Source organism: Homo sapiens, chromosome 9, assembly GCF_000001405.40.
Source record: "Homo sapiens chromosome 9, GRCh38.p14 Primary Assembly".
Classification (NCBI taxonomy): domain Eukaryota; kingdom Metazoa; phylum Chordata; class Mammalia; order Primates; family Hominidae; genus Homo; species Homo sapiens.
The window spans coordinates 94143063-94159748 of record NC_000009.12 but is presented as its reverse complement, the minus strand read 5'-3'; the positions used below and the strand labels follow the sequence as shown (position 1 = coordinate 94159748).

Genomic DNA, 16686 nt, shown 5'->3' with positions numbered 1-16686 from the left:
TGATGGCCTGGGGGTCACATCTGGTTCACAGAAGTGCCTTCTTATACCCACGCAATGTTTTAAAGCTATTTTTAACTAGCTGACAGCATGCAAAAGAATCAAGACATTTAACAGGAAAAAAAAAATCTAGATTTCTTGCTTCTCTCAGAAAAAATTGGCATCTCTGGCTACACTCAGCCTACATTCCAACATGACAATATTTTCTTTATGTGCAGCGTGGGCTCTGCTATTTGTCACAGTCCCCATTGAGCCTGCTTCATTCTTACTACAAGCCTGGCCCCTGAAGTCATCTAAATTTGTGTCCTCTGGCCTGGAAGCATGCCTCTTCTTTTGAAATACAGCTCCTGCCCCACTTTAGTTGTGGGGTTGTGGTCTCAGCTGTTAATCACAGTACCTTAACCACAGAGGTGAGTGGGTAACACACACTGGTAAGTCCTATAAGGGGACAGTACCTCAATAAGGCCAGTGTCCCTTCCTGGAAATGTAAACATGGACTGGGAGAAGGAAGTCCTCTTAGCTGCAGATCCCAAGCTGTAATGACATGTGAGAAGAAGTCAGTCCACAGCAGAAAAAGCAAAGCAAGAGTCAAGAAACAGAGTCAAGGCTGGGCGCGGTGGCTCACGCCTGTAATTCCAGCACTTTGGAGGCTGAGGCGGGCGGATCACAAGGTCAGGAGCTTGAGACCAGCCTGGCCAATATGGTGAAACCCCGTCTCTACTAAAAATACAAAAATTAGCCAAGTGTGGTGGCGGGCGCCTGTAGTCCCAGCTACTTGGCAGGCTGAGGCAGGAGAATGAATCGCTTGAACCCAGGAGGCGGAGGTTGCAGTGAGCTGATTGGTGCCACTGCACTCCAGCCTGGGTGACAGAGCAAGACTCTGTCTCAAAAAGAAAAAAGAAAAAGAGACAAAAAACAGAGAAAGAGGTCATGATAGCAGCTGAGTCCCCACATCCAGGCATCCTCAAGGACACTCCATCCCTTCCCCGTTGAGCATCAGAAGCTGTACATTTCCCTCTTTTCTCACCTGGAGCTGGATGGAATTTCTGTCACATGCAACCAGAGATGTTACTAATAAAGTGGTTAGGAGGAGGACTGGCTTGAGAGTAACATCTAGAACCCACATTTCTACCATGCTATTTGCGATTTTCGACAAACTGCTGATCTCCTTTCACCTCAGTTCATCTGTCTGTTCGTTCGGCACTAGGCACTCTAATGCTTACCTCCTCAGGTGGAATGGAGTTCTCATAACGTAATGTATGTAAAGCATTAAACTCAGTGCTTGTCATAATAGACATTCACAAAGTAATTCATAAACACTGAATTTTAAGATAAATGTTTAATAAAAACTAGTGGACTGGAAAGAAGAGTGAGTGAACTTCTGGAGAATTGTAATAGTGGTTTTTTTTTTGAGATAGGATGTCACTGTCACTCAGGCTGGAGTGCAGTGGCACGATCATAGCTCACTGCAGCTTCGAACTCCTAGGCTAAAGCTGTCCTCTCACCTTAGCATCCCAAGTAGCTGGAACTACAGGTGGGGGATACCATGCTTGACCATTTAAAAAAATTTTTTTTTTTGTAGAGACAGGGTCTTCCTGTGTTGCCCAGAATGGTCTCAAGCTCCTGGCCTCAAGTGATCCTCCCGCATTGGCCTCCGAAAGTGCTGAGATTACAGGCGTGAGCCACCGCGGCAGGCCAGCAGTGTTCTTTAAGGTGATGTTTCCAAATCAGTACTGCTTTCAGAGACTTAGGAATATCCTACAAGAAGTCAGGCCTCACCCAGATGGACTTGAATTTGTTTTACGGCTCACTGTTTAAGTAAATATGTGATCCTAAACCAGTTATTTACATTTTTTGACCCTGAGTGTCCACCTATAAGGTGGAGATAATAATTCTCAGCTCTTTTAGTTATTTTGAGAATTAAATTAACTCATTAATATAAAGGGTGCATAGTAGTCTATGGTAAGCATTTAATAAACTGTAGTTAGGACTGTTGTGAAGGAAAAAGAACAAAATCCATGGACAAGAGCTAACCAAGGCTTCATTTCTGTGGAGTCATTGCCGTTGTAATGTCTAGTATTTGAAGCTCAATTGAGCTGAAATTGCACAGTAAGTCATCAGAGCACGATGCTGTTCTGTTCAGTTGTGCCAAGAACTCACCTCCTGCACCACCTCCAGCCCAGCCAAGCTCAGCATCTCCCACTAGTTAAAGCCCTCCTATGTTAGCTTTCAGCAACAAGCTTTTAAAGCAGGTTTCCATTAAAAATGGAAAAAAAAAAAAAACTTTGGATGATTAATTAGCAGCAGAATAACCCAAATCAAGAGAGAGATCACAATGTGGAAAGTTTTTTTTTTTTTTTTCTTTTTAAGAAGTGAAGTCTAGCAACTTTCAAATTACAGGCAAAATGATCAAAGTTTTTGACATTTTGAGGCCAAAATATGACTTTACGCTGTTGATTCCCTAGACTTAAGCCCACTTCCTTGTGTGGAGAACACACCAGTGGAGGAAGTGGAGGAGGAATAACATGGGTCCCCAGGAAGCTTTGCCTCTTTGTTCGGTTTTGGCAGCAAGCCCAACTCTGACTTGCATAAAATCTCCTGGAGCGTTTGTTCCAACAGTTCGCTCTGCGTGGCCCTGCCCATCCTGCAGGCCTCGGGCAGCCTGGCCACGGTGGCCAGCGCCTGGGCTAACTCAGGCAGGACCAAGTCAGCAATATCTATTCCTTTAATGAGCTCTTGAAATTAGTGCCTGATAGACATGTTGTCCTTTTCAGGGACCTGGGGGACCATGCCATCGTGCATGAGCCTCTTCATCTCCGTCCTGAACTTTTTGTCCTTTCTCGCAGAAACTATATCGCATTCTGGTGCTGCTGCAGGAGCCTCAGCATCTGGTGGCAGAGCTGGCGGGGGACTGTGAGGTCCCAGGCCACCCACTGCAGCCTCTCCAACTCGGAGGCATGCTCCAGCTCCTGCTTTGAGGTAACCATGTGGCTGCGGCTGTGGATGCCGCTGATCAGGCAGTTTCCGATGGTTTTGATCATGGTCCTTGTGCTGGTGGTGCTGGTGGACAGGTCTGATGAGCCTCTCTGTGTCCTGCCAAGGGAGCACTAACACACACTTAGGCAAGCCCTGCAGGGAGGCCCTCCAGCCCACAGGTTCTGCTCTGCCCGGGCTTCCACCCTGAGGCAGGGAGGCCCCAGGCCTGGCAGACACTGCTGGTTGCCAGCCCACTACCCGTTTTTCACCACTTTTCTACCCAAAGAACTCTGATTCTTTGGGGGAACCAATGTGGGCAGCTAAAAATACTACATTCATTTCCTGCTTCCCTTGACATTGGGAGTAACCAGGTGTGCAATGGAAGCAGAAGTAGAATCCAGTCAGGTGGGCTTTTAGGAAGCTGCTTAAAAGTGGGCATGTGCCCCTGGGACCAGTCTTGACCCTTCCCTTTCCCTTTGCCGGGATCATGGACAGGATGCCTATATGGGACAGCCATCCTGTGACTACGTGCTGACAAGAGCACCTACCAAATGGCTGAGAGAAAAGGGCTGGAGCATCACGGATCCCAAGCCAGCCAGCCTTGACTTCCTACCTTGGGACATTTCATTAAAGTAAAAAAATAGAACCCCTAATTTTTTAAAGCCACTGCTCATGGACTTCTGCTACAGCCAAATGCAGATCATTGTTGAAAGAATAGCCACATGGAAGAAATCACCTGAATAATTTAGAGGGAAATAAATGAAATCTCAGATGCAACCATTCTAATATTTCTAGAAAAAGTCAAGATCTCATACTCCGGAACTGGTGGTCTTCAGTTCACCCCTAAAGCCCAGCACCAAGCTGGGCACGGCAGCTCACACCTGTAATCCCAACACTTTGAGACCCAAGGCAGGTGGATTGCTTGAGCTCAGGAGTTTGAGGCCAGCCTGGGCAACATGGCACAACCCCATCTCTGCAAAATATGCAAAAATTAGCTGAGCATGGTGGTACATGCCTGCAGTCCCAGCTATTCGGGAGGCTGAGATGGGAGGATCCCTTGAGCCCAGGAGGTCAAGGCTGCAGTGAGCCGTGATTGTGCCACTGCACTCCAGACTGGGTGACACAGCAGGACCCTCTCTCAAAAATAAATAAAAGAAATAAAACCCAGTACCAGCATCACCCCATGATCAGGTCTTTCCAGATGGGGCAGCAAAAAGTAGGGGAAAGCACACCAATGAAGAAGCCACACAGACCCAGGAGAATCTTGGTTCTTGCTAGCTGGGCAGCCTTGGATCTCAGTTTCCTGCCTTCTAAGAAAGGGATCCTGGCCAGGCACAGTGACTTACACCTGTAATCCCAGCACTTTGGGAGGCCGAGGTGGGCGGATCATGAGGTTAGGAGATCGAGACCATCCTGGCTAACACGGTGAAACCCCGTCTCTACTAAAAATACAAAAAATTAGCTGGGCGTGGTGGCGGGCGCCTGTAGTCCCAGCTACTTGGGAGGCTGAGGCAGGAGAATGGCGTGAACCCGGGAGGTGGAGCTTCCGGTGACCTGAGATTGTGCCACTGCACTCCAGCCTGGGAGACAGTGAGACTATGTCTCAAAAAAAAAAATAAATAAATAAAAATAATTTAAAAATTTGAAAATTTTAAATTTTTGTTTGAGTACATAGATGTAGATCTAATTTGAATATTTTTATATTTTCTGTCTGTAACTTTCTGAAATATGGAATATAATTATAATAAGTTTCAGTGTCTTCATCTACTAATTCTAACATTTGTCTCAGTTCTGATTTGATTTTGATTGTGTGATTATTGTCCTCATTATAGACTATGTTTTCCTGCTTCTTTGCCTGCCTGGTAATCTTTGATTGGATGCCAGACATTGTGAATTTTACTTGGTTGGGAGCTGGATATTTTTGTATTCCTATAAATCTTCAATTTTGTTATGGGATGCAGTGGAGGTACTTGGAAAGAGTTTGATCCTTTCAGGTCTTGCTTTTATTGTTTTTTAGGTGGGTCCACAGCAGTGGTCCATCTAGGGCTAATTATTCTGACTACTTGGAGGCAAGACCTTCTGAGTGCTCTTCCCAGTGTTCCATGATGTATGAGTTTTTCCGGTCTTGTGGAAATAGGCATTGTTCCTTGTCCTGTGCAAGCATCAGGTGCTCTTCCCTCAATATTTTTATGTTTCCTTGTCTGACCTTGGGTAGTGTCTTCACAGACATATGCTGATCAGTTCACTGCTGAGTACTCAAGGAAGACCCCTGACAGGTCTCCAGGATCTCTGTTTGTGTAACCATCTCCTCTCTGAACTCTGTCCTATGTACTCTAACTGCTTTGGTCTCCCTAGACTCTTAGCTCCATCTTCTGAACTCAGGGAAGGTAAATTAATTGGCTATTAACTGTTCATTTTTTGAAGTCCTGAAAGCAATCAGGACTGACCCAGTTCTTAAGGTGCGCATTTCAAAACTTGGCATGTTTCAGGACAGACTCAAGGGGAACCTGTCTCTAGAGAATGCAATCTATGATTTCTCCTTTGCATTTATACACTACCTTTGTTGGCCTAGTGCTCTGAAGAGAAAACTGTTGAAACCAGAACCAAACATTGTCTTCCTGTTAATGTGGGGACAGGAGAGGAACCATTCAAGCCATACCTCCGTTTCCTGGGCTGTGCTCTCAGATCTCTGCAGCACCTGCTGAATGTCCTCAGCAAAGCTAGCTTTCCTTTCTGTGTACACATCAGCAATCTTGGCTACCTGGTGAGAACTGTGGTCCCCAGAGAGCTTGAATATCCTGCATATTGGCTTTTCATCACTTAGGCACAACTGATTGAGAGAAGAAAAGTCAGTGAAACTTTCTTTCCTTCCTTTTCCAACCCTATGCACTAGAGACCTGCCCTACCCAGGCTGATGACATTGTGAATGTGTGAAGCAAGTATTAAAAGTCAGTTGCACAGGACACCCTGGTGTGTGTAGAACAGAGGTGATGATAGTACTAGGATGGTCTGGTGGTGATTTAGTAAGTGCATGTTGTTATTTCACGGAATCCTCACACGACCACCCTTTGCTTTAGATAGTATGGTTTTTGTTTTGTTTTGTTTTGTTTTGTTGTTGTTGTTGTTGTTTTAGACGGGGTCTTGCTTTGTCACCCAGGCTGGAGTGCAGTGGTGCAATTTCAGCTCACTGCAACCTCCGCCTCCCAGGTTCAAGTGATTCTCCTGCCTCAGCCTCCTAAGCAGCTGGGACTACAGGCACGTGCCACCACACCCGGCTAATTTTTTGTATTTTTAGTAGAGGCAGAGTTTCGCCATATTGGCCAGGCTGGTCTCCAACTGCTGGCCTCAAGTGATTTGCCCGCCTCAGCCTCCCAAAGTGCTGGAATTACAAGTGTGAGCTACTGCACCCAGCCTACATAGTACGGTTTTATGGGTGACGAAGCTCAGAAGGCTGCAAATAACTTGCCAGGAAGGGACAGCACTGGGATTAGAAGACAAGGTCCTTCTGAGTCTAAGGTCAGAGCTTTTCCCACATTACCACACCACCTGCCTCATAGGACTGCCATGAGAATTAAATAGGGCGATGCACGTAAGATGCCTGGAGTAGTGCCTGACACCTGGATGACATTAAACCCCTGGTAGCTATTGATAATATTACAAGGACCTTCACAAACAAAGTGAGCCCCACTACGGGACTGAAAGCTGAGCACATTTCTAGATGGAGGGGATCAAAGAGGAGCCATCCCCTCTGCCTGCTTCTTCTGCTTCCACCCCTTCCTTACTCAGTTCAGGGGCAGGCTCTGAATGAACACCATAGAGGTGACTGCTGAAGATGAGGCAGAACCATAGCAAACTTGTGAAAAACTAAACCAATTCTTAAAGGCATAGTCTAAAGAGGAATATATAATTGCACCTCAGGGGCTTGACCTAGCCTGTCCCAAGCAGTGTCATTGATCTCAGCAGAAGTGCAAGCTGCAAGGAAGAGAGGAGTGGCTCAGGCGGTGGCCCAGGTAGCTGGTTGAGGGTAGAGGATCTCAGGGAGACCCTGCCTCACCGCGGCAGACTTGATTCAGAGCTAGGAGACCCTCTTCCAGAGCCTCTTTCAGAGCCACATCTCTGCTTTTGGAGTTGGCTTCAGAGTTTCAAGTTACGGCAGAATTATGAAGTCTCATGAATACTTTTGACTTCTTCCAAGTAAATTGTCAACTTAGGGGGCCGGGCGCGGTAGCTCATGCCTGTAATCCCAGCATTTTGGGAGGCCAAGGTGGGCGGGTCACCAGGTCAGGAGATCGAGACCATCCTGGCTAACACGGTGAAACCCCATCTCTACTAAAAATACAAAAAAATTAGCTGGACGTTGTGGCGGGCGCCTGTAGTCCCAGCTACTCGGGAGGCTGAGGCAGGAGAATGGCGTGAACCCGGGAGGCGGAGCTTGCAGTGAGCCGAGATGGCGCCACTGCACTCCAGCCTGGGCGACAGAGCGAGACTCCGTCTCGAAAAAAAAATTGTCAACTTAGTTTACACCTGATAATGAGCAAAGACGAAGCAACCTAGATGAGGCCCCTAAGGCTGGTGGCTGATGCTACCTAATCTATGAAACATGGAAACTCTGCCTTCTCCTGCCCCTCCGGGGTTGCTCGGGGAGTCAAGTAGGCTAAAGGTTGTAAACGTGCTTTGTGAACAGCAAAGAATTAAAGCCTTTTAAAGGGGTATCCCATCTGACAGAAGGATCCATCCTAAAGTCAGTGCCAAAGGGGAAAATTACCTCAAAATTCCCTTTGAAGATCCCTTAGCAAGGGAATGTGGAGTGTCTTGTAGAACACATCTAGTTTTGTACAAGGCACACTGTAGATATGTGTGTAGAAATGTACAATGTACAGAGCATTGCACAGAAACAACCAAGGGTTCATATGGCACACTGTGCGGAAAACGTGTGCTGAGCATCCAAACGCCAGAATTACACTCAGCTCTCCAAAGGAGTCCCTCCTCACCAGCCATTCAGGAGGCAACAGAAGGAATAGCCGGTTCGCCAGTCTCATCCTACCGCACCCTCTCTCCGAGATGACTGAGGGTGGCTGGAGTCTCATAAATCTCATAAATCACTGTACCTGTTTGAGCCCTTCTACATGTGACCCCTTCAACCCCACTGTGGGCTGCAGGGCTGAATACTGCATGTGTGTGTGTGCGCGCACACACACATGCACCCCCCCTACACATGCACCCCCTCACCCCCCGCACACACACACACATTCGTCCCTGGGCTCCACGTTACAAATCAAGAATAAAGTTAGCACTGGGCTGTGGATTTGGAAAGTAATCCTCTACTATACTCCTGAGTAAACATCTGGTTTCAACTATGTAGGCTTACCGAGTAATTTGACAGATTGGGCAGCTAGGCAAAAAGAAAATTTTAAAAAGTATAATTTAATACCAGATTCATGATTTTTCCACGCTTTTCACACATCTGAGCGAGCTGGTTTTGCTCCCCGGTGTGAAGTGTCTCAAGTACTTCCTTAAGCTTTTCCAGGATATTTTCAGCCAGGATGTTTCCCTGCAATCCATTTGTTCCCCTGCCCTTCAAATAAATGTCCTAAAACACAGAGATCACATGAGTTTGTGGCAAATTCCTGAGGCCAAAGGCCACCTCATCTTTGGGGGAGGTTGAAATATGTCCCTTCCTGGTCACTAAAACACCATCTGGGAGGAGGAAAGAACTCACATTCCACCCTGGGGAAGGCTGACAAGACCTGGAGAGGGAAGTGACTGTGAGAACCCTGCACGATGACACTTCCAGGCTGGCCCTGCTGTGGGCCTGTTACCAGTATCTGTTGTGAAAGTCACTACAAACTCCATCAGGTGAAACTGGAATCTGCGTTCCTTCAGTCCATTGAGTTTTGGTTAGGACCTACTCTGTCTTCCACAGAAACTCAGTCCAGTGGTAAGAAATGCTCACAGTCAATGACTGCACAGTTGGATATGCCAGTGGAGTGCAGAGAACGAAGGACCAGGTCTCACTGTGTCTTTTATTTTCTGTATTTTGATGTTTTGGCACCTGGGGCCTGCCCTCCCAGGGTTAGCCAACTCCTAGACAGAGTAAAGGATCTCACCTGGGACTGTGCTTTTCAGATGCAAACCAACCAACCCAGATCCCACACCCCCAACCATCCAACCTTCTCACACGCAGGCCACTGTCCATCTGCCCTAATTACCAGAGAGCAAGGCACAGCTCCTATGCCTCAGAGCCCACTGAAATGATTCACACTAGCCAGTCTTTAGCCTGCTTACCCTCCCCTCCCCATTTCTTCCTGTGGAAACCACAGCAAAGGCCCTGGACCACAGTTCCCTGCCATTCCTTTTGCTTCCTGATCAACCCTGGGGCTTCCCCATGTGGCCCTGCGTGGTGGGGGGCTCCCTCCTCTTGGGAACTCTGAGTAACAAACTACCTTTTCAATGGCAATCATCTCCTGATCTTTTGGCCCCAACAGAACCAGTGCAGGGAAGTGATTTCTTTTCCCTGGTGCCTCGGAAATGAGAAAAGAACTTGTCTTGAAAAGAGGTGGACCTGGGTTTGAATTCCAGCATAACACTCACTACAGAATGCTGCTGGTGTATAAATCTTTTCCAGGATTCAGCAGAATGAATACTCCAGGGAAGATGAATGGGCCTGCGCCTGGGATCTGGGCCTTTTTTCTTTTCAAAGAAAACTGAAGAGCACTGAAAATGTCCCAGAGGGTCTGCCTTCAGAGCTGGGCACACCAGTCCTCTTCCTCCCTCCCTTCTCAAATCTCTGCCTCTACTCAATCAGTCCAAAGCTCTTTCCCGCCCTTCTAGGCCGCAGGTGCAGCCAGTATCCCAGCCAGCACTGTCCCTCTGCTCAATCCTCTGTGTTCTGTCAGGGTGAGGACGCACAGCTACTTCTGCTCAACCCTCTTGGGACCGCACCTGCATGACCTGCCCAACCCCCAAATCCAGGCTCAACAAAATTTCTGCGAAGACCTCCAGTGTACTTCCTGTGCCCTTTGCAGGTTCCTTATGGGCTCCCGGAGTCTGAGGAGCCTGTGTGTCTGTCACCTGGGAGCAGGAAAGCCAGAGAGCAGGGCAGGGGACAAGGACCGCCTCCCTTACAAAGTGGAGCTTCAGAGGGTGCCATTATCTCTAGTTGCTTGGTGCATTAACTTAAAATCACAATAGAGAAATTAAGGTTGCCATGGACCTGCTCAGGGAGGGAAGATGAGGAAGGAGCTGTGCACGAGAAGCTCAGTCGTCGGAGAGGCAGCAAATGCCAGTAGCGTCTAAAACCAGTGGGCGAAGAATGGTGAGATAAACACATACTCAGAGCTATGGTGGTGACTGCAGGAAGAATGAGGTAGAAAAAGTTAGGAGAGATTGCCTCTGGAGAGTGGGACTAGGGGTGGGATGGCAGCATTGCTTTTCATTATAAACTCTTTTCTACACTATTTCTTTGATATGATTTAAAAATAAACATACAAATAAGTGAAAATTCCAGGTTGACAAATAAAATGATCCATCCAAATGTGTGGTGCTTCTGAGCTGTTGCCCCTGTCTCTGCAGTCACCTCATGGCACCCCTCCCCCAAAAGCCAGGTGATGACCGCCTGCCTCTCTCCCTGCCCTCCAGCCCCTCAGGATTCCTCTGCCTGCAACCTATTCCTTCTAGATTTCCTTCCTTCCTTCCACAAATATCCAAAGGGTCTGGGGCAACACCAGTCATGATTCCTACAGTCCAGCTGGCGAAATGTTACACAAAGAATTTCCATGAGAGCATGTGACATTGTGCTTTCAGAAGTCAACGTTATGATGACCCTTTCCAGGTTAAAATATGTCACTAGCTCCCCTCTGCTTACAGGATAAAATGCAAAGCCCTTTGCTTGATGTGTAGGGCCTCCTGGAATATGTCCTACTTACCCTTCGGGTGGGTACCCTAAAGCCCCAGGTGTCTCCCACAGCACCTTATGCTCAAGCCTCCGTGATCTCTGGGCCAGGCCCTTAAGCACCTCCTTTCTTAGGCTCTCTTTCTCGGGCCTTGCTATCTGCCACTGTCTCTTCCTAGATTGCCCTCTCCATCAGCATCAGTCCTACCGTAGATTCTATGCAGCAGTGCCTCCCCTGTGGCCTTCCTGTCCCCTGCGGTGCATTGCAGACCTGCACTGTGGGGTCTCCCATTATATGTGTGGTCTATCTCTCCTTAAAGGGTGAAATCTGAACCCTCATCAGCTCTGCTTCTCTGGTCTTCCACCACAGTGACAAGGCACCTAGCAAGTGCTAATAAATGGCCCTACCTACCCCAGCGCATACTGAACAAGCTGTTCTGTAAGAAAGTTCTCTCCAACCTTAGGCCACAATGTACATCCTCCTGTAGCTCCTCCCTGTGGGTCCTGATGGATCTTCTAAGCCTAAAGGAAAAGCCTGTCCTCCCCTGCCGATGCCCTCTCACAACCCTTCAGAGATGTGGGTCTGCCTTGCTGGTCTTCATTTTGGGGCCCAAAGTCCCCAGTTTTCTCATGGGCTAGAGTTCGAAGAGTGCAGACCAGAAAGAAGTCTGCTCCCTCGTGGAGTCAAAGGGCCCTGATTTTCCTCTTACTTTCCTACACACTGGACAACAGAACCATCCCTGGACCTGGGTGCAATTCTGGTAAACCAAGATCAGCTCCAGGCACTGTTTGCAGAAGTTGTGGGAACAGGACAGCAGCAGTGCAGGCAACGTAAGCAGCTCCATGCACACGGGCAGGACAGTGTTGCACCCAGCGGCTCCATGGCTCTCAGGCTGCCGCCCCGGCCAGATGCTAGAACAGGCCTGAAACTGCTCTGGGAGCCACGTCACAATAGCGCCATGGCCAGGCCCGGCTTTCCTCCAGGGGATGAAGCAAGGAAGCTCCTTGAGTGCTTCGGGGGTGCCAGGACGTGTCGGGGAGCCAGGCGGCCAAATCCAGCTGCAGCTCCTTTCTTTGCAGCTCGTGTGCCAAGATGGTTCTTAGATTTTTTAGACTCTTTTTTTTTTTTGAGACGGAGTTTCATTCTTGTTGTCCAGGCTGGGGTGCAATGGCGTGATCTCGGCTCACAGCAACCTCTGCCTCCTGGGTTCAAGCAATTCTTCTGCCTCAGCCTCCCGAGTATCTGGGATTACAGGCATGTGCCACCATGCCCGGCTAATTTTGTATTTTTAGGAGAGACGAGGCTTCGCCATGTTGGTCAGGCTGGTCTTGAACTCCTGACCTCAGGTGATCTGCCCACCTCGGCCTCCCAAAGTGCTGGGATTACAGGCATGAGCCACCGTGCCTGGCCATTTTTTAGGCATTATATAAAACAAAAAGCGAAAAACAAAACAACAAAAACAAAGATATGCAACAGAGTCCACGCATGACCTGCAAAGTCTTAAGTATTTACTTTCTGGCTCTTTACTGAAAGAGTCTGTGGTCCTGTGTAATTGAGAAGATGAACCTACTAAAATCCAGCTACTCCTAGGCACAGCATCCTGGCCTCAGGTTAGCAGGGAGGAGTTGGGGGATAGGGCCACCACCCCACCACAGCCGGACCATCTGAGGCAGGTAGCCCCTGGCCTCTCCTGTTCCTTCTTCATTCACGTGTGTTGAACGAGGCCATCTCTCAGCCCTTCCTCTCTGATCCTGGGCATCGCCAGTCTGTGGACTCTGACTTGGCCTTTCCCAGCCCTCAGTGCCTGTCTCGTCTGCCTGCCTGGGGGTTCCTGGAGGATCAGCCAGTCCAAACAAGGGGCACTAGTTGAGCACCCATGTTGGGCCGGCATTGTCATGTGTTATCTCTTATTTCATCTCCACAGCCCTAAGAGGCTCAAGAAATTAGCTTTCATTAAGTCAGAGAAACTGAGGCACAGAGAGGTAGGATAACCTTTCCAAGGCTGCAATGTGTCATGTTCCATATGACTCTTTCTCTTTTCCTGGCAAGCTATGTTGCCTCACAGATGAGGTTGTCCTATAGATGTGAAGGTTCATGGTAAAATGTATGGGTGTGGCTGGGCGCGGCGGCTCATGCCTGTAATCCTAGCACTTTGGGAGGCCTAGGAGGGTGGATCACCTGAGGTCAGGAGTTCGGGACCAGCCTGGCCAGCCTGGTGAAACCCCGTTTCTACTAAAAATACAAAAATTAGCTGGGCCTGGTGGCAGGTGCCTGTAATCCCAGCTACTCAAGAGGCTGAGGCAGGAGAATCGCTTGAACCTGGGAGGCGGAGGTTGCAGTGGGCCGAGATCACGCCACTGCACTCCAGCCTGGGTGAAAGAGCAAGACTCTGTATCAAACACACAAAAAAGCATGGGTGTGTTACACTGCTAGACATGCTCATGAGACCATGGGGAGCAGGGAGGAAGGAGTGAAAACCCACACCCCACACTCTCAGCCCCTATTCAGCATGCAGGCACCCAGCATCAAATATGTTCAAGACACAAGATGGGCCCTGGGGGGCTGAAGGTGCTGTGACTGCTCCTTGTTCATGATGGCGACAGCCACTCTTGGATGGCTCAGCACACATGAGTTCTCAGCATGCACTGTCCCAGTTACTTACCACAACACTCCTGTATAATCAGGTCCAAGTCATAAATAAGAAACAGGCTGGGCGCAGTAGCTCATGCCTGCACTCCCAGCACTTTGGGAGGCTGAGGCGGGAGGATTGCTTGAGCCCAGGAGATTGAGACTAGCCTGGGCAACATAGCAAGACCCTGTCTCTACACAAAATAAAATAATAATAAAAAAAGAAATAAGCAATATCCCTGCTCTTACAGAGCTCTCAGTCCAAAGGAGATGACAGATACAGAAGGAGAGCTGCAGGCATCCCAGCTGGCCCACCAGTCATGACATCCCTAACCATCTTCCATCAAGGCCAGAAACGCTGACTACTCCCCTCATCAGACTGACGTCAAGGGGTGGTCATGTGATAGGCTTTTGTCCAATGAAACATGTTGAAGTCTGCTCAGAGGCTTCGAAGAAACTTTTTTGCACTCCTGAAAAAAGAAACATGCAAATGTCACCACACCTCCCCATATCTTTCCACATTGTGTGAAGACTCAAAAGCTGGAGTTGTAGCAGACGTTTTGTAACCATGAGAGAAACCACCAAGAGAAGCACAGATATGGACGCTGACATTAGTGAACTGCTGGACCCATGTCAATGCTCACTTCTCTCCAACCTATAGTTATGTGAGAACAACAAAGCCACTGCAAGCCAGGTTTGCAATCCTAACTGATAACGAAAAGGTAGGAAATATTATGAGCCATGGGAGATAAGAAGCTGTAAACATTTAGAGAATACAAGACTACTTGCAAGTGGAAACAGAAAGGATGGGGAAGGTGTGGCAGCCTCTGTCTGTTGCTGACTCTACTAGAGCCATTGCCTTCTTTTTTTTTTTTTTGATACTGAGTCTTGCTCTATTGCCCAGACTGGAGTGCAGTGGTGCAATCTCGGCTCACTGCATCCTCTGCCTCTGGGTTCAAATAATTCTTGTGCCTCAGCCTCCTGAGTATCTGGGATTACAGGTGCCTGCCACCACACCTGGTTAATTTTTGTATTTTTAGTAGAGATGGGATTTCACCATGTTGGCCAGGCTGGAACTCCTGACCATAAGTGATCCACCCACCTTGGCCTCCCAAAGTGCTGTGATTACAGGCATGAGCCACTGCGCCCAGCTGCCTTCTGTCTTGCTAGGAGCACCCTGGCTGCTCTTAACTCCTGAGACAGGTCCATGATGGATGAGACCATTATGTAAAGGTCATCCCCCAGGCCAGATACTATCCCAGATACCCCAACATTTAGGGCAGGTTTGGCTACATGGACTAGTATTCGCCAATGAGATGTCAGGGGAATTTTGCTAGAAGGTTTGCTAGGAAATGCTTCCTTCTATAATAGAAAAGGAAAACTGCCCACCTTTTTTTTTTCCTGCTGCCTCTCCTTCTTTCTGCCTTGACTGCAGTTGTGTAACGACATGATCACGGCACTACTGCAGCTGTCTTGTGATCAAGAAGTAAAGCCCTGAAGGTCAGCAGAGATGCTGATCCAGACCATTGACCTTGACATCAGCGAGCTGCTGAAAGAACCTGGAACCACCTTGCTGGAGACTTCTGGTAAGATAAACGTCTCTGTTACTTAAGCCACTATCAGTTGGGTGTTCTAATGCTCATTCTTGGCTTGTGCACAAGCCTTCCTGGAAGACTTGGCATTTGAGCTGAGGCTTGAAGGATGGGTGGTGCTTGGACATGCAAGAATGAAGGAGAGGACTGAGGAGAGGTAGATTCCAGGAAACCAACTGTTTGGAGCCAAGGCAGGGAGCTGGAAAATGTGAAGATAGTGAGTAGTCTGGTTTAACAAGAGTGTTCACAGTTTATTGGGCACTGAAGAAATGCAGTGTGTGCTTGATAGTTTGCGGGAAATGGGAAGCTGTGGGGCTGGGCTGGGGGCTGCCTGCAGGCAGGACCTGCAAAAACAGGCAGACAAGGGCCAAAGATGGCCCTTTGCTTTTAAGACTCAGGCACCTAATGACAGTGAAGACCAGCTCCTTTACAGAAACCCGGATCCCAGGAGCAGAGCCCAGGTTCAGATCTACAAGGTGGCAGACCCTCTTGTCACCCACTATCCACTGGCTGTGCTGTGTTTCTCAGCCTCCGCCAGGCTGTATGGTCCTTCTGGTCCTAGGACACACAGCAGCAGGTGGGCAGTTAAGCTCCAGCCTCCTCTGTCCACTGTCCCCTGCACAGCAACCCCAGGCCTTGGGTTCTGGACCTGGGGAGAGCCACCTAGCCCACCCCGTGGGAATTCAAACAAGAATCAGGCTATCGTTGGTTAAGCCACTGAGATTTAGGAATTGATCTGTTATCCTGGCACAGCCTAGCTTGGGGCTTTTCAAACTATCTATGGTAAAGGCCTAGTTCTTTTTAAAAATTTCTTTTTCTTTCTTTCTTCTTCTTCTTCTTCTTTTTTTTTGAGACAGAGTTTTGCTCTTGTCACCCAGGCTGGAATGCAATGGTGCGAGCTTGGCTCACTACAACCTCCACCTCCTGGGTTCAAGCGATTCTCCTGCCTCAGCCTCCCTAGTAGCTGGGATTACAGGCACCTGCTACCGCGCCCGGATGGTTTTTGTATTTTTAGTAGAGACAGGGTTTCACCTTGTTGGCCAGGCTGGTCTTGAACTCCTGGCCTCAAGTGATCCATCCACTTTGGCCTCTCAAAGTGCTGAGATTACAGGCATGAGCCATGGTGCCTGGTCTCTTTTTAAAAATTTCTAATATAACACAGATCAACACTTTCATAACGTAAAGATAAACTACTGGAAAAATATTTTTAAAAGACATCCAGAATACAAACCCAACTTTAATTATTCTATTCATCAGACACTGTCAGATTGGCATAGATTTTCTAAATCCTGACTCTTATTTTCTGCACCCCACTTTCCAAGTGGGGACCACTCTGGGAGCTGCACTGCCCAGGCCTGTCTCGTCCCACCCCTGTTTCCTCTGTCAGGCCTCTGTGTGTGGAGAACAGGCTGAGGGGTAATGGGAGTGGGATTCAGTCTGGGCTCTGCTCTTGGCAGCGTCAGCCCCAGCAGGCATTTCATTTGCCCCAAGACGAGGTATGAAGGGTATGTGGGAGTGTCTGGCAGGCAACTGGAGACTGTGACTGAAGATCTAGAGATAATTTAGAGGTCATTTATTGAACTGTTATTGGATGCGGGCAT

At 48.4% G+C, this 16686-nt stretch overlaps 1 pseudogene across 1 annotated transcript, besides 2 other annotated features; it reads right to left on the bottom strand.

The window, feature by feature from the left end:
- Positions 1–463: 463 nt before the first annotated feature.
- On the bottom strand, positions 464–11783 carry LOC107987099 (tripartite motif-containing protein 54-like; annotated as a pseudogene). Its single transcript, NR_171889.1, has 4 exons — positions 11575–11783; positions 8405–8563; positions 5633–5803; positions 464–531 (listed from the first exon to the last, which is right to left on the bottom strand). The product of NR_171889.1 is annotated as a tripartite motif-containing protein 54-like (transcript).
- Positions 5411–5580: an enhancer, noted in NCBI's record as "experimental_110085 CRE fragment used in MPRA reporter constructs". NCBI's record gives its function as "activates a minimal promoter by MPRAs in K562 erythroleukemia cells, with activity observed for the non-introgressed 9:96916536 variant allele {active_cell/tissue: K562}" and the evidence as "EXISTENCE:reporter gene assay evidence [ECO:0000049][PMID:34662402]".
- Positions 5717–5886: an enhancer, noted in NCBI's record as "experimental_110072 CRE fragment used in MPRA reporter constructs". NCBI's record gives its function as "activates a minimal promoter by MPRAs in K562 erythroleukemia cells, with activity observed for both the introgressed and non-introgressed 9:96916230 variant alleles {active_cell/tissue: K562}" and the evidence as "EXISTENCE:reporter gene assay evidence [ECO:0000049][PMID:34662402]".
- Positions 11784–16686: the final 4903 nt, after the last annotated feature.